Below are 18459 nucleotides of genomic sequence, written 5' to 3'. Positions count from 1 at the left end.
AGGTTAGGAGATCAAGACCATCCTGGCTAACAGGGTGAAACACCATCTCTACTAAAAATACAAAAAATTAGCCGGGCATGGTGGCGGGTGCCTGTAGTCCCAGCTACTTGGCAGGCTGAGGCAGGAGAATGGCGTGAACCCGGGAGGCAGAGGTTGCAGTGAGCTGAGATCGCACCACTGCACTCCAGCCTGGGCAACAGAGCAAGACTCCGTCTCAAAAAAAACAAAACAAAAAAAACAAAAACAAAAAACAAACAAAAAAAACCCCCACATGTTCTAGAAACAAAAGGCAGAGAGACTTTCACAGACCATTATAATAGCTAGTCATAACACATTGGCTAGTTCCATATGACATACAGGAAAGAAGATAGAGTTGGAGAACTGACAGCCATCTATTTAAGTGTTTGCAAATCTTGCTTGGTATCTCTTTTTTATTCAGTAGCAGACCCCATGTTCTTTCCATATACTATGACCTTTAAGGGAACATACCATGTAAAAAATGATGTTATTTGAGGGGTAGAGTACCCCTTTTTTCTCTGAACTCAGGTATTTTGCAAAATTTGAATTGACAACATTCTAGTTTTAAACGTCCTAGGGCTCATGATTCCTAGAAATGTACACACAGGAGGCAAACAAATCCAAAGGATGGTGCAAAAAGAAAATAAAGGTATTAAGTAGGAATTTAGTTTTTACAGTTAATAATTTTACACATTCAATATCAAGGAGAAAGTCTGAAATGTTCCAATAAAATACTGTCTCCACTAATGTCTCGCCTAGAAATGAAATAATTGGATCTATCTTGTTATAAGTTTTCATTCAAAAATTGCATCCTTAAATATATGGTCTTATCTAGGAATTCTGGAGGGTGGGGGTCAAAGAACAGTGAACCCTTCACACAAATGCAATCACAAGGAGGAAATTCTATAATTCACAGATGCTCAGACCCCAACAGAGATGGACCCTCCAAGATCACTAAAACCTTAAGAAGTCAAGGAAACAGTGGCACACATAGGATCCAAGGCCTTGGTCTTTTATTTCTACACCATTTAATATTTTCTTCCAATCTATTACAACCGCTTCACAAATACTAAGCCCAAAGAAATGAAGGTTAGTATGTAACTTAGAGTGAAAGACTCCCATATCAAATATCTACTTCGCTTCCCTTCTAAATCAGAGATCTTTTAAAAGTTTGATGAAAAAGAAGGAAAAATAAGGGAAAAGGAAACTTAAAACACATATTACTGTTAAAATTTATAGCATCCCTAGTGATCACCTTAAAAAGATACAAGGATGCAATTTGTTCTCATAGCTCTAATCAATTAAAACTACTTGGTAGAAGTTCCGACTTGTTTCTACCAGCTTATTATTTCAGGTATCTGGGGTGACAAAAGGGAAGCACAGACAAATAAATAAAGGAGAAATTATAGGTTTTGATGAATTACTATAAAGAAAGGACCTTAGTAAGCAGTGCAGCTATGGCGCAGTGCAGCTATGGCACAGTCCGTTGAAAGCAAGGAAAGAGTTTGAGCCAGAGAAAACACTGAACTTCCGTATTTTTCACTATTATGACAGCACATAAAGGTCCATGCAAAGGAGTGTAGAAAAAGAAAAAGGAGGAAAACTTTACAGCTTTCTACACATTTCCTTCATTAGAAGTCCTTATTCCTTAGGAATGGCTTACAGAGCTTAACTAAGAGCATTAGTGGAGTAACTAAGAGACAGATTTTGACTCTATCCAAAAAGGAAATTGACTACTCTAGCCAACTCTGTAGAGCGTCTATTCAACATCTCTCCCAACCCCCTTGAACCTTCCTTATGAAGACCTATCACTATAAAATCTGAATATTCTAGAGATATTCTTTCCCACAATTCCATGAAACTAAGTCTTGGACATGTGACATGATTCTAGCCAATGAGAGGCAAAGGCAGGTCCACTAAGGGGCTTCTGGGACTGGATCTCCACCTTGATACATAGGAAAGAAAGGCCTTTCTGTTTTTCTGCCTTTGAACCCAACTGTGTGAGGTTATGATGCTTGGATCATCAAAACAATCTTGCAGCTATGAGGGAAAGCTAAATGATTCAGAGATGCTATTAGGTTGGTAAAAAATAATTTGTGTTTTCATTAAAAACATGGCAAAAACAGCAATTTTACCAACCTAATAAATTAACCAAAACCCATGACAGCCTACCTCTGGACTTGTGAGTGAGGTACTGAAATGCCCTTGCTGTTAAAGTCACTTTTAGGCAGGCATTCTGTTCCTTGCAGCTGAAAGCATCTTAGCTGATGTGGCTATTTCTGGTAATAGCAAGCAAGTACCCAGTTCAAACAAGGACTGTTCCTCCTGTGTGGTAGATATTTTATCAACGAGATTAAAGCATCATGTCCAAGATGACTTTTAAAGTCTTTTCCAAACCAATGATTTTATCATTCTAAATGTGAGGCACATGGAAATGTGTATGTAAGTAGAAATTTAAAAATGCATCCACATACAGTATCCTGTAGAAAACATTGTGTACAATAAAAATTGATACACCTTTGTAAAAAGTTAACATGCTATGCCATGTCTATAAGGTTTCTATGTAGGTGAGCAAATAATATACATTCATACAGTTGAACGCCACATAGCTTTTTTAAAAAAAATAAATCAATATAACAATTTGGAAAGACCTCTAAGATATAATGTTAAGTGTAAGAAAAAAACAAACAAAAAAAAAGCAGGCTGGGTGCAGTAGCTCATGCCTGTAGTCCCAGCACTTTGGGAGGCTGAGGCGGGTGGATCACCTGAGGCAGGAGTTCGAGATCAGCCTGGCCAACATGGTGAAACCCCATCTCTACTAAAAATACAAAAATTAGCCAGATGTGGTGGTGGGCGCCTGTGATCCCAGCTACTAGGGAGGCTGAGGCAGGAGAATCATTTGAACCTGGGAGGCGGAGGTTGCAGTGAACCAAGATCGTGCCACTGTACTCCAGCCTGGGCAACAGAGTGCGACTCCATCTCAAAAAAAAAAAAAAAAAAAGCAGACAGAAAGAGTATAAATGAAACATTTTTATAAAAACATGTATATATAGGCCAGGCACAGTGGCTCACTCCTGTAATCCCAGCACTCTGAGGGGCCAAGGCTGGCCTATCACATTAGCCCAGGAATTCAAGACCAGCCTGGCCAACAGTGGTGAAATCTCATCTCCACAACAACAACAAAAAAGTAGCCAGCCATGGTGGTGCACACTTATAGTCCCAGCTACTTGAGAGGCTGAGGTGGGAGGATTGCTTGAGCCCAGGAGGCAGAAGGTACAGTGAGCTGAGATCATGCCACTGCACTCCAGCCTAGGTAACAGAGAGAAACACTGTCTCAAAATAAATAAAATAAAAATATGTATATATAGAAATATACTTTAACATTTGCAGAAGAATATTAAAAAAACATAACAGTTACTCTTGAGTAAAGGCAGGGGCTAGGAGAGGAGGCAAAGATTTACTTCATCTCTAAACTTGAAATTTTTTTTTAAAAAAGGTCAAGTACTACTTTTATAATTTTTTAAAATTGGTTTTAAAAAGCTACTTTGATCTGCATATGTACAAACAGATAAAGCAATTCTGGAACTAAGCTGTCCCCTAGAAAAATCATTTACTTTTTTATAATACTGAAACACATTCAAATTTCCCCTTTGTTTCATATTCTTCTCCATATACACAATTCTCATCCTATGCTTTTCCTCTCCCCTAAAAATTCCCTTTCTTCTTCAAGTCATAACCTATCCATTCTTAAGTGAACTACCTTCTATTGTGCACATGCCTTAATTTGGGGGAAGGAGCACAGAATCGGCATCTTGTTAATTGCTGCTGTCTATTCATTTCATGGAGATGGCCTCTCTGACGGTAGGCAAGGCTGTTTCTCATTCTGTTTGTGTGCTCCAACTTACCTGAAACAGTGAGGGGATGCCCACCTATTGATTCAGAGCAGTAATTTCTGGGTTTTTCAAAAGCATATAGATGTATTTCTATGCCAACAATTGACTTATAATGCACATACTAATAATACCATCTTGAATTGCCTTGTATTGGAATTTTCCAATTCACTTCTAGTACTCTCATCAACAGATGTGCACAGCATATTAAAATCATCCAATATCAGTCCTGGTGTTGAAAGTATGTTATGATTTCTATTAGACCATAGCTCTCCACCCACCTCAATTAGGGCTCTCAAATTTCGAAAGTCATCGATTTGGCAAGACTTGGAACTTTCCATATAGCACTTAAACATTAAACCTCCTTTATGAAGTATCACTTACAAGGGCAACAATGAAAAACAAATTTTAACATTAAAACAAATAACTATCCCTTTTAGAATTCTATTCTCTATACATAACTTTTATTTTACTTCCTATCTCAGCTTAGTTTTGGATGAGCAATTCACATTCACTGGTTCTCATTCCTATCCACTCAAATCCTTCTTAAGTATCTGAAATGAACTTTTGCTCTAAACACATTAATAAACTGCTCTGTAAAAATTACAAGTGACATCCCTCTATAGTCACATTCAGCAAATGTTTCCAAATCCATCTCTGACCCTGGACACTTCTCGTCACTCTGTCTTCTATGTGTCAGGCCCTGCCCTCTCTTTTCTTCTCATGGTCCCTTCTCCTTTATCATCAATACTGCTTTCTTTCTCCCATCCATGGATGGTATCCAGGTCTTACTTCTAGGTTTCTTTCATACTTATTTACGGAACTCATATCGTAAGTAAGCCTCGACTTCAATTAAATTTGGATTATTCCAAATAACTTCTCCAGATATGACCTCTTATGACAATAAGACTGAAAATTAGACACATGTCTATTATTCATTGTTTATTCAACAAATGACTGGTTTCAGGTACTTGTTAGAGACCCTGGGCACATGGAGATGAAAAATAGAGGCTTTCCTCCTCAGAAGCTTCACAGTATGAAAAGGAAATAGATGTTTAAAATGAATACAATGTCAAAAAAAGAAAAGGGAAACCAAGCAATGCAAATAAATGACAGTGCATCCCATGAGATAACAAAAATGAAATTATCAACAAATATTGATGAGGATCTCTTGGGGTAGAGGTAAGAAATATTTAATAGTTATATATGGAAAGTTTGTTATGATTTTTTTATCCAAATATCCAAATGTAGTTTCCCCTTTAATCAACTCTAAAAACAGGGGGGTAAAACTAGTCCCTCCTAATCATAAAACAAAGCAGGAAACACATGCTGAGACAAAACACAATGACATTAGATTACAAAGAGATAAAGCACCATATCAACAGATCTTTTTTAAAAAATCCCTGAGGTAGCAACTTTGCAGGCAGCATTTAGAAGCTGTAGAAGAGAGAACAGACTTTTTCTGGATATTAGAATTAAGATTCTGTCCTTAAAGAAAACACTGAACAAGGGCATTCACATCCCGAAGTGGGATCTTGCCAGCTCATGAGAACCAATTGTGTCTCTTTCCAACTCCAAGTTCAGTGACATTACCTTGGTAGCTTAAAATTAGCCATGGTGGAAGTATTAATATTTACACCTTAGAAACTCAGCTGGGTGTGGTGGCTCACAACTGTAATCCTAGCACTTTGGGAGGCCGAGGTGGGTGGATCACCTGAGGTCAGGAGTTCGAGACCAGCCTGGCCAACATAGTGAAAACACCTTCTCTACTAAAAAATACAAAATTAGCCAGGCCTGGTGGCACACACGTGTAATCCCAGCTACTCGGGAGGCTGAGGCAGGAGAATCACTTGAACCCGGGAGGCGGAGATCGCAGTAAGCTGAAATATTGCCACTGCACTCCAGCCTGGGTGACAGAGCAAGACTCCATCTAAAAAAAAAAAACTGGCAAGCACTACAAATCAGAGTTGTTCCCCTCATCCCGCCAAAGACTGTTTACCAACACCTCATTAAACACAGGCCATGAAAGTAATGAATTGGAAGTAAACATATCAATACATTAATATAAAACCTGCATCCAGCACAGACAAGTCTGGGAAAGTGCAGAATTTGCACAGCACAAAAAGAGGAGAAACCAAAACTGGAACAGTGACAGCTGACTTATCCCTTACAGTCAAACAGCTACACACAGATCATTTATAGAAATTCATAAATGGCATTTTTGGATAAGAAAAGGGAAATTGGTAACTCTGTCTGAAAGCACAAAGAATACTTATACAATTTGTTTTTCCATCTACTTTCTCTATTTTTGATTCACAGTAGGCACCTCTGAGCTCAAAGTACATTTATTGCTCTTTCAACTGGGTAACTACTAACTTAGAATTGCTAGAGATTATTGTACAACATTGTGACTATACTTAATATATTACATTCTTGAAAAATGCTAAGAAAGTAGATGTAAAATGTTTTCACCACAAAAACAATGACTACATAAGATAGATAACGCATATGTTAATTTTAGTTATATCCACAATGTATATATATATATATACTTCAAAACACGTTGTAGACAGTAAATACATACAATTTTATCTGTCAATTTTTAAAAATTCATTAAATAGATTAACACATAAGATAAGCTCTTTGTTTTTAGTAAATATACATGCAATACAAATGAATAGAGCTAAAAATATTAAGGGTAAAGCAAACTTCAACTGATCTTTAGATAAAGGGATTTTAATTCTTTACTTTTGTATATTTCTTAGATTTATCTCTTGTCTATGTATTATTGATTTTTGTGAAATAAAAATGTTAAAACCTTTATAATTTTTAAAGAAAAAAATTGCTAGAGATAAAGCCTTTGAGATGATTACGTTTGTGAGAACCAGATCACACTGAGCCAATTCTAAGCCTTGCTTTTGAGAGTTACTGACAGCTGCACATTTTTAAAAATTGCACTTAAACCTATAGGTTAGAACTATGAATAAGCAACCAATCTACAGATAGTTTTGATCTGAAAGATTTCCACATTTTATCCAAATAATACAGATGTAAATGAGATTCTCACATGTAATAAAGTAGGTGAATTTTACAAAAGCAGAAAAACCCAGAATGGAAGTAGTCTTTAGTTTTCACTGAACCCAGCTAGGGTTATCATAGGAGAAAGTGTGGTTCTACTCACTATAGAAACCATCTAACACAAGACTTCTTTCTTCCCTATAAAATAGAGATGTTCAAGATTGAATAGACACTGTAAACGAGACACTTAACACAGTGCCTGACATGAAGCAGGTTCTACACAAGAATTAGTGAAATTTCCCCCAATCCTCAACCTTAATGTGTGACTTTAAACTCTTTGAAAGGGACAAACAAATCTATATTCTTTATCATGATGCTTTTCAAACAATGGGGATTGAGGTATCAGTTTAATAGGTTGTGACCAGCATAAAAATGAAACAGATTAGAAAAGAAAGTAGGGTGCATCTCACATTAGTTTCATGAAACTTTTGCTGGTTCTATCTTGGGGGTGGGGTGTGTGTGTGTGTGTGTGTGTGTGTGTGCATGCTGGCTTTCAAAATAAAATGGATTTATTATTCTGGGTCACAGTTCTATACTTTGAAAAACAGTGACTTACACAAAGTTGGTGCTCTATAAATATCTGCTGGATGATTTATGAATGGATGCAACCTGGGAGGTATCTTGTAAACTTCACGTTCAATATTGCTAGGTTCGCTATACTTTCATATTACATAAAGCTCCTCCTTTTGCTTCAAATCTGCATTACCCCTTTTCTCTTCTCACTCTCAGCTGCTGACCCTCCTTCTTATTGCACCTAGGAAGCAAGCAACTAGAAGAGAACCCATGCAGACCAATCTACTAGGCTGCCTGCATCCATGTCCGTAACCTCTCCACCTTCTTTCCTGATAGAGATGACCTAAACCTACCCCCAAGTAAATCCAATCCCTCCATCTGGCACTGAAATCCGTTCCCCTCACACTCTCAAGGATTTGGCTTCTGCAATTACCTCCCCCCTCCCTCTCCTGTATCATCCCTTTCTGCTGGATCATAAGTTCCTTTCAAGAAAAAACAAAACAAAACAAAACAAAAAACACTCCTTGAAAGAGTTAATATATTCACTGCACCCATTTTTCTTCTCATAGTACCCTGAACCCTCTCCAAGCTGGCACTTCTCTGTCATTCCACTAAAACCCACTTGTCAAGATCACCAAAGACCTCTGTTATCAACTCTCAGACCATATCTCTCCTCATCTGTCAGTAGCTTCGGACCCAGTGGACACTCTCCTCCTTAAACACTGTCTTCACCCACCTTCTGGATTCATATTTCTGGCCATCCTTTGTCAATCTCCTTTGCCAGATCCACCTCTTCTAAAACCTATAGTGTCCCAGGGCTCAGTCCTGAAACTGCTTCTTTAGCTATGTTTAATTCTTAGATGCGCTCATTCAGTGTCACAGCTTTAAACCTGACCTCTATGCTGACGATTCCAAAGTTTATACTACTGATCCTGACTCATATAATCCAGATGTATCTCTACCAGGAAATCCTGACAGTTCCACCTTGAAAACAGACTCCAAATCTGGGCATTTTCAATGCTTCTGCTTTTAACATATAATCTACTGTACTGTTTTGGACTGGATCACTACCACAGCCTCCTAATAAATCTCCCTGCTGCCATGTCATTCCATTACCATCCACTCTTCTGCAGCAGCGACAGTAATCTTCTAAAATGGAAATCATTTCACGACATTCCCCTGATCCAAACCCTCCAATGGCTTCTCATCCCACTAAGACTTCATCTTCATAATCTATGGGATCAGGCCCTTGACTAACACTTTCAAATTACCTCCTATAACTCTCCCCTCTGCTCACTTAGCTCCATCATAAGGGCCTCCTTGCTGTTTCTCAAACAGAAACCAGGCTTGTTCTTGCCTCAGGGGCTTTGTAGGTACCTTTACCTCTGCCTGAAATGATGTTCTTCCCGTAAGTATCCATATGGCTTGCTCACATCAAATCAAGTCCTTTTTCAGATATAACCTCATCAAAGAGGTCTTCCACAAAAATCCTATCCAAAATAGCCTCCCCCATCTATCTCTTTCCCCTTACCCTTATTTATATAAAAGGATATACCCCCACCATCTAATATTATTTATTTATTATCTAACCTCCCACATACACACATGCACATACACAGGATCCTTTAGGGCAGGGATTTTGTCCTGATGATCACTGTATTCCCCATCAGCTGGGAAAGGATTTCTCAACAGCAGCACTATTGACATTTGGATTGGATAATTTACCGTCATGGAGATGTCCTGACATATTTGTTGAGCCAACAAACACACAACACACACACAGACACACACACACACACACACACACACACACACACCCTAAAATAGAACCAATAAAACTTTAATGAATGATGCATTAGATGTTGAGCAGCATCCCTGGCGTCTACCCACTAGCTGCCAGTAGCTTCCTACCCAAGTCGTGACGATCAAAAATGTCTTTGGACATCACCAAATATCCCTGGAAGATCCATTCACCCTTCTCTGACAATCACTGACCCAGCAAGATGCCTAGAATGTTGCATTTGTGTAACTAAATGGAGTGACATAACAGAAATATAAGACATAGCATCAGTACATCAATTTCCCATAGTAAAAAAGATAATGGTAGCATATGTAGCCAAGTTCTATTTTGTTCAGCCCTACATTCAGGTGTTTCCAGAGAACAGCAATAACAACCCAGAGAGATATTTGCAAAAGGGCACTTCTGTAAAAGTGCTTCCCCCGGAGAAACAGGGATCCAGACATAGAAATCTGGCCAGATTCCACTGAAAAGATATCTGAGCACAGCATGGCACCTACACTTCACAATGCCCTTCAGCTCAGCTCCTAGAAGAGCAGATACAAGGAAAAGCCAATGGAAGGTAAAAGAGCTGGGTTTTTTAAGGAAATGTATTATAATTCCAGTATCCCATTAAGAGAATAGTTTTGTCTTATATACCTCATGTAACAGATTATACACATGGCCTAGAGGCCAGGTTTAGTAGAAATAGAAAAAATGCAGAGAGTCATCAGACATCAGCAGCCCTGGCATCTAACAGGACTACACAGAACCCAAGCTAAAAGGAACAAACTGGTAGACACCAGCTGGAAGTCAGATTGCTATCACATGAAGAGCTGTTCTTCTCATTCTCTTCTCACACTAATGACCTATAAGGAATTTGAGACAAAGTGGAGTGCCCACAGGAGTCACAGGATATTTTTTTCAACACCTTTTATTATTTTTATTGTAAATTCAATTCTACCTCCTGGCTTTTGGCCTAGGAAACACAGTTATAATACAGATATACAAAATGCACAATTATCCAGAAGTTTAAGGTCCGGTTGCCCTCCCTTCAAATTTCTATTCCAATGTTGGAAGAAAGTGAACTGATGCCTAGTCAACTAATTACTTCTGCATCAGCAGTGATGAAAACATTATGTAGCTTTGAGATGGGAAAAAGTTCAGAAATCTAGTAAAAGAGAAACCAGGGCCCTGTAAGTCAGCCCCTAAATAATAGTGCCTTCAAAATTTTATATTACTATACATGATTTAGAAGTGGTTAACTCTGACATATTTACATCAGAGATAGACAAATTCAAAGACTTAAACTGCAATTTACTTACAAAAAGTAGAATTGATTACTGAAGCAAAGCCCCACAGCTATGTGATCTTGAGACTCTGCATGTTCATGTAAATTATGCGAGGCAAGAAATGCTATTTAAAACTATTTTCTACTTCTGTATTCTGACTATTACTGGGAAACAGAAACATTCTGGGAAATAAAACTGCCATGAGACCTAAAGACCACATCTGACCTTAATGATTGCCTTCAGATTTCAAAATCTCAATTTAAAACCCTTGGTTTTCCCAACTGGCACCATCAGCATTACATATGCTGAGTTTGCTTTTGATTCTGTTGTATATTCTCTGTCCTAGCAGGAGTGGTTTTTCTGCCATTCTCCACCATTGTGCCAAAAAAGACATCAAACGAACTTTTATTATTGTGGGAAACACCATGCACTTGAGTTAACTATCAGCTGTAATAAATAAAACTGTTTCAGTAGACTAATGAGAGATGGGAGGTGTTAAAAAAATCAAACTGAGCAGACAATAAAGTACTTAAGCATCACACAGTCTACAAAGAGGGAAAAAAACACTAAAAGAAACTACATAACTACATAGGGAGCTCTGATGGAATAAAACCTTTATGATCAGATACAAAAGCTGGGGTGGAAGCATTTCACCAAGGACAAATAAAAGAGCAAGGTGAAACTAGAGTAATATCATAAATGTGAAGACATGAAATGAAAGGAGGCTTGAGGAGAATGCTGAGAACAAAAGGGCTTTCAAAGAAAGATGGAACCACAGCTTGAAGAAGCATTGGAATGGCACCTGGCATAGGATAGACACGCAATACATAAATAAGCACATACTTAATACAGGAGTGAAGTCAGTAATATTAACAGACAGCAAAAGAAAGACAACTTCCTATTTCACTTTTTTTTAAATGAAGGAGAACAATATGACACAACCCTTCTGTAAGAGTTCTTAAACTGCTATATGGTAATATAAATAAATATTCAAGAACAGATACATCAACCTAGCAAGGAACGGAAGCAACTTGCAGTTACAGAAAGTCAAACAGGGTCACAAAAAAAGGAAAAGTGCGTAAGAACTCAAGATGGATCATCTTAACCCAATTTTCAAAAAAAAACTATTTTGAAAAAGTAGACTCTGGAAACAAGAGGCAAGAAAAATTCTTGCATTAATCATCGGGCATGTACTTTGAGAACCACTGGAAAGTAAAGCAGTGATCATTAATCCATGCCAAACTTAGCATTCCCTTTTCCTTGTTAATATTGGAAAGCTGATGCAGAAAGAGAAAGCCAGAAACATAGTGGCAGCCAGACAAAAAGTCACAGATGGGTGGAAAGCGGGTAGAATAACCAACCAATATCAGATAGTATTTCTTTGCTTCGTGTAAGCAGGAGGATGATTTTTGTGCAATCCTATTCAAAATATTTTCCGTCAGACTTAAAGACATAAAGGACAAGCTGAGCAAATACGTAACACAAAGCAGAGGACAATTCACACACTGAACAACAAGCTAAAGACTAAAAGAACTTGGCAGGCACTAAGAATTGGAAAAAACTAAGGATGATTTTTTATAACTAAGAAATAGTACTGCATCTACTCTGATTCTACGTTTTTCCAGAGCAGCAGCAATCTCTACAATTCTGTCTCACAGTCCAGCCAATGAGATTTTCTTTCAGTTGGTTAGTCATTTAACTCATTTACAGTATTAGTGGGTATTTAATGCACCCCAAAGTCCCCTTATAAATGGTTTCACATCAAATATATATTCACAACATAGTCTCAAAGTCACCTAGCTGATGAAGGTCTCGAGTTTGAGGTAGATAAGAAGTCTATTTTACATAATTTAGATAAAGTTTAGACAGAATTAGATAAAGTGTATCCCAATCATGTAAATTCCATTATGTAGCACTTCATTAACTTAAATTTACTCTTATTTGAAATGTCCATTTTCCAATAATAATTATAACGGATGGTAATGAAGAATTACACGATTACAAATTGCCTTCCAAAATCACCTAAGAGGCCGGGCACGGTAGCTCACACCTGTAATCCCAGAACTTTGGGAGGCCGAGGTGGGTGGATCACTTGAGGTTAGGACTTCGAGACCAGCCTGACCAACATGTCGAAACCCCATCTCTACTAAAATATGAAATTAGCCAAGTGTGGTGGCAGGCACCTGTAATCCCATCTACTCGGGAGGCTGAGGCAGGAGAATCGCTTGAACCCAGGAGGCGGAAGTTGCAGTGGGCAGAGTTCGTGCCACTGCAATCCAGCCTGGGCAACAGAATGAGACTCCATCTCAAAAAAAATAAACAAAACAAAAACAAAATCACTTAAGAGGAAATTGCCTCTGGGCCTGTTACGTTTTTCATAAAATGAGGAGGTTAAATCAAAAGGCCACTAAATTTAATACACTGCAATACTTTATGACAGTAAGATGTCTATTAAATTTATATTTAAATTATAGGGTTTTACAATTTGGCAGTTCCTCAAAAACTAAATGTAAAATTACCACATGATCCCGTAATCCCAATTCTAGTTACTTTACCCAAAAATACTGAAAGCAGAAACTCAGATTATACCCCAGTGTTCACAGCAGCATTACTTACAGTAGCCAAAAGGTGGAAACAACTGAAATGTCCATCAACAGATGAATAAACAAAATGACGTTAAAAACATACAATAGGTTATTCAGCCTTAAAAAATGAAATTCTTATACCTGCTACTACAGGAATGGAACTTTGAAAAACATATATTAAGTAAAATAAGACAAACACAAAAGGACAGATATTGTATGATTCCACTCATATGAAATATCTAGGCTAGGCAAATAAGAGAAAGTGGATTAGAGGTTACTAGGGGTTTCAGGGAGGAGGAATAAGGACTTATTGGTTAATGGCTACAGAATTTGGGATCATGAAAGAGCTTTAGAAGCAGTGGTGATGGCTGCACAACTGTATGAATGTAATTAATGTCACTGAATTGCACATCTAAAAATGGTTTAAATGGCAACTTTTATGTTAGGTATATGTTTAATAACAAAAAGAAAAGTATAGAATTTTAACATTTGTATAGATAAGGAAGGTTAGCCACAGTCTATGTGGTCCTAGGCAAGTCTCAATCTGTCCTGTTTTCAGTTTCTTCATCTATAAAATAAGAATAACAACATGAATTGTTAATGCATGGGATCCACAGTGGGGCATCTGCCCAGAACTCGTGAGAAAAAAATAAATTCCATGTATGAATAAAACTATTTCATCAATTTGTAACAGAGCAAAGTAGAAATATGCATCACCACCTAAAAAAGATAGACTGGCTCAGATGCCTGCCCAACTTAATTGTAGCTAGACTGAATATATTATCACGTCTAATGAAAGAATAAGCCAGTTACAAGCAGGTTTGAATACTACTGAAAAGTCAAAAAGCCAACCACTATCTGGGGAAAGAGTGGAAATCTTAGCCAATGATTTTCCACATCTACCTTGCCCCACATAACGATGGATGTTGCCAATTAACTTCAAGTGTTCTAATCCCACTGACAACAAGACAATCAATAATATCTACTTCAGTATGATGATATTTCCTGAAGAACGGTATGATTACCTCTTTGGGAAAAAAGTGTACAGGAGAAGAACATTGAGAATAATTTAATTTAAAACGTGCTACTTTTAAGTTATTTTTATTGCCAACTGTTAAAATTTTGAACACTGAGACACAGGAAGCACTCACAGGAAGTGCTTTACAAGTATTAATTCACATAATCCTCATCACAACCCTGTGGTACAGAGATACTTGTTATCCCCATTTCACAGATGAGGAAGTTGAGATGCAGAAATATTAAGGACCTTGCCATGGTCACACAGCTTACCAGTGGTGGAGCCTGCAATTGCACTCAGGGTCTTAGCTACGATTTTAAAATAAACCAAAACTTTATATTCATCAGTGAGAAACAACCCACAGAAAGTTGTAATTCCTGGTAATATTAGAATATTCTAATTACAAAAAAGACATTTGAGCTAACAGATATGTTACCTAAAATGTAAACAATTAGGAACAAGGCCTGTTGCTGACATATGGGGCAGTGAAGTTAGCCAGGGAAGTAACAGGCAGTCATGGGAGAGGAGAAGTGCTGATGGAGGCATGAGAATACTGTAAATAGACTGAGCTCCAGTGACTGAGTAGGACTGACGTGGTTGATATGTCATATCTCACCATTTAAGCAGCAGCCTGAAAATCCAACCTAACTCTGTAGGCTTTCTCCAGGTAAAAGCACTCAAATCATGGTACTTGCTACCAGCCAGGCATCCACAGGGTGAATACTGGGAATGTCCATGTTCTAATTATAATTGATTTTTATAGTGGAGGATGTTGGGATAAAGTGGGAAAATGGCAGGGCAGATGGTTGATGCTCTTATCTTTAGCTATCATATCTGGTGTTATAATGCTCAATCTAATCGGCCCATGTGGATGGATTAGAGAGAGTCAATATTAACTACCCCCATCATTAACTTATCACAGAACAGAAGCATCAGATTATGTCATCATCCATTAAACCAAAAATCCTTCTGACTCCCTGGTTCTGATTCCATGTTCAACATTATAAACTATTTCCTACTTCACATCTGGATATAGAGCAAAAACGTACCCACCATTTGGAATTCAAATAACCTAATCCAAGATTTTTTTTTTTGGTATATTTAGCTTAATATATCAGCCTTATGAGTTAAGTAATCCACCCATGAGATAAATCTGGTTTTGGCTGCTGGATTTTTAAAAAAAAAAAAAACACCACAAAAACAAAGTCAGTGTTATTCTCCTATAAGACCAAGCCAGATCTAGATCTAAGGTTGCTATTAACCTATGTATCCCCAACAAGCATTCCTACTCTACCCCTCTTCATGCTCTGTACGTTTTTTTTCTTTTTTCCTGTAAGAATTATTTTTCAGGGTAGTTGTAAAAATTAAATGAGATAAAGATAATTGTACTGACCAAACTTATTGGCACATGACAAATAAATATTCATTTTCCCCCCACCCTCACCTCTAGACTTTATGAATACATATTTAAAAGTTAGCAATCAGAAAACTTTATGTTCAGGCTAGATTCAAGTTTAATATACTCAATGAGACTAGACCAGTCCAATAACTTCTGGGAGAAACAATTTTTTCCTACTTCTGAGATACTAAGAAATAGTCCATTTACCTCAAAAATAGATTAGGGTATGACAAGAGGGAAAGGTCTCCTAAAAAAGACCTGTCAAAAGCCAAATGAAGTAAAAATATAATTCTTATAGCTAAATAGAAAAGCTATATGTTACCCCAAGCCCAAAGTCAGAAAGAAAATCAGTCCAATACATTGTAAATTGCACAAGAATGATACATATCCATACTCTGTTATTACCATGATTACAAAAGTAGTATCAAAAAAACAGGTGTTATGTATTCTGAGGAGCAGTAAAAATGTTTGGGCTGGTAATGTTTCGAAGTGATCTTCAAGAATCGAAAATTAGTGGTAAAACCCATTTCGAGGGTCACTTTCTTTTGTATTATTGTGATTATAAAGCCATCTAAATTTTGCAAAACCTTTCTTACATGAGCCAAATTAAAAATACAAAACAAACAACATAAGGAAAGTTCTGTTTCCTGCTAGTCTGCATTTTTTTCTGGTGGTAGCTTAGAGGCTTGAAATTTTATGTTGCAATTACAGTATTCTCCTTTTAGAGTACCCTTGAGGCTTTGTTGACAGCCCATAGCTGCCTTTATCTTCCATGTGGGTTAGTGTAAAAATGACACATGTAAAACCACATTCATCATCAGGAAAAAAAGAAGAGTTCATACCTCTTTCAAATTTTAACCTCTGATAAAGTTGAAACTGGTCCACAGGTACCAAACAGGCAATCTGAAACCAGAGACATAAAAGGTTGAGACTTCAGTCATCATAGTGCCCTGAGTTACCAGCCTTTTGATTTCTCTTTCTGGCTTTGCTTATTATACTTTCTCTACACCAATTGTTTGCAAACCTCTTTTTCTCCACACTGTTCATGTAGTAAAACACATGCAACAATTTTCAAGTCATCCCCACTCCACCACCATAGCTGAGAATCACTGCTGAAGGGAGCAGTTACAAAACTCATTGATCACCTTCTACCTTCAGTCAGTGGCTACCAAGACCAGACAACAAAATTTTATTACAGGGACTTCTAAAATTATTCATATTCCTGTATTAAAGATGCTTCCTTTCTCTATATCTTCATTTAAGAATTTTTTGAAATTAAAGTTCTAGCTTTGGAATCCTGAAAAACTAAAGTCAGGTAGACAGCATCTCAGGAATTATGCAAATGTCATTTGTCACCTAGGAAAGAGTACCTTTTAAACAATATAAAAATCATGTCTTCTGACAAGAGTCACTTCCTAGAGCCCTCGGTTATGGGACATTGACATCTCAGACTCTGGTAGAAAAGAAATGCCTAAAATATTTCTTGCAACTAGACTCCTATTTCCATTTCAGATGGCAACATAAACCAAAGGTTTACTAGTAAACAACAACAATTCACACTTAACTGAATGACATTTCAAATTAGTTATTTTTAAAGGCAGATGCAGGAAAAGCTAACTGCTCTTAAACCAGCATTCTAAACATTTTAATTCCATTGATGTCAAATGTAAATATATTGACATAACTTAAAGATTTATATATGAGAAAATAAAGATTTTCTCATATATAAATCATATATAAATCAAATCAAATCACATTTGATATTAGCCTTCCAGACATCCAGTAAGTTCATACAGGACAGAGTTTTAGCCCTGACAACTCCAACTCTAAACTATCACCTTTTTTTGGCACAAAACACACCTACATTGACGTTCTTGCAACTAAGGAAAGGACATCTGCTTTGAGAAAACTGGAGTAAGAAAATGATGCAGCTAAAATTGTATTTAACAAATATTATACCTTTTATAATGCATTCAAAATCTAATCCTTTCCCTTATAAATAATCTCAAGTTGTTTATTTCGCAAATGAATCTAAATTAGCTAAAATGTATAAAGGACCACAAAACAAGTTTGGTCTTCCTCATTCCAAGTAAAGTGTGGTAAAACATAACTTTAATTATAAAAACATTTTTATCCAAATTTTCTTTCTCCAGTTGGGGAGAAAATGTTGCATTTTCATCTGGTACCTTAAAGCTCCTTAGCAATCTTTACAAAAAAAATTATGCGCAATATCATGTTATATGTATTTTACCATAGTTCTTTCAACAGTGTGGTTGGACTTTTATTACACTGAAAGTCAACTTTATTCATCTGTTATAATGCTACCCAGACATCTTTCCTGAAAGACAAAGATGTCTCAAATAAAATTCAGAGTTGGAGACAGAAGGTACAAGCAAATGAAGTGATAGGAGGCATTTAGGAACCAGAGTTCAGTTCCTGACTTTGTCGCTAATTCATCATGGGTGGAGGACAAACAAATGCTACGTCAGCTTCTGGACCAACATGACTTGGGGGGTGATACCATCTGGGCCCAAGAGACCTCAATAATATTCTATGAATCTTTTTTTAACCACCACCTTCTTTGATTCCAGAAGACAGTCTTGTACCCCACTCACCCTCATCTAAAATAGTTTGTGGACTGATGACCTCCTTTTAAATCCTTCAAAGTCAACCCCTAAAAATTCTGATTCTTTTTCAATGATGAGCAATTTATATAAATGTCAAATACAGTTTATGGAAGACAAGGCAAACGGAAGATGTTTTAGATACAGATGAAATGTTAATGTGAAAAATGACAGAAATTAATGCAGTAAAAAGTAAACAACTGTAGAGATGGATGTTTAATTTTAAATTAGAAAAATAAATTTCATTGGAGTACATACTACTGCC

At 37.0% G+C, this 18459-nt stretch overlaps 1 protein-coding gene across 2 annotated transcripts in view; it reads right to left on the bottom strand.

Moving 5' to 3' along the window:
• Positions 1-18459, bottom strand: part of RNF144B (ring finger protein 144B) — an 81521-nt gene that overhangs the window by 12714 nt on the left and 50348 nt on the right. For both annotated transcript variants that reach the window (NM_182757.4, XM_047418594.1), the window contains one exon: positions 16413-16473. In NM_182757.4, coding sequence (NP_877434.2) covers positions 16413-16473 — 61 coding nt within the window. The remainder of the gene's footprint in view (positions 1-16412; positions 16474-18459) is intronic.

The sequence above is a fragment of the Homo sapiens genome, chromosome 6, assembly GCF_000001405.40.
Source record: "Homo sapiens chromosome 6, GRCh38.p14 Primary Assembly".
Lineage (NCBI taxonomy): Eukaryota > Metazoa > Chordata > Mammalia > Primates > Hominidae > Homo > Homo sapiens.
This window is presented reverse-complemented; position numbering and strand designations above follow the sequence as displayed.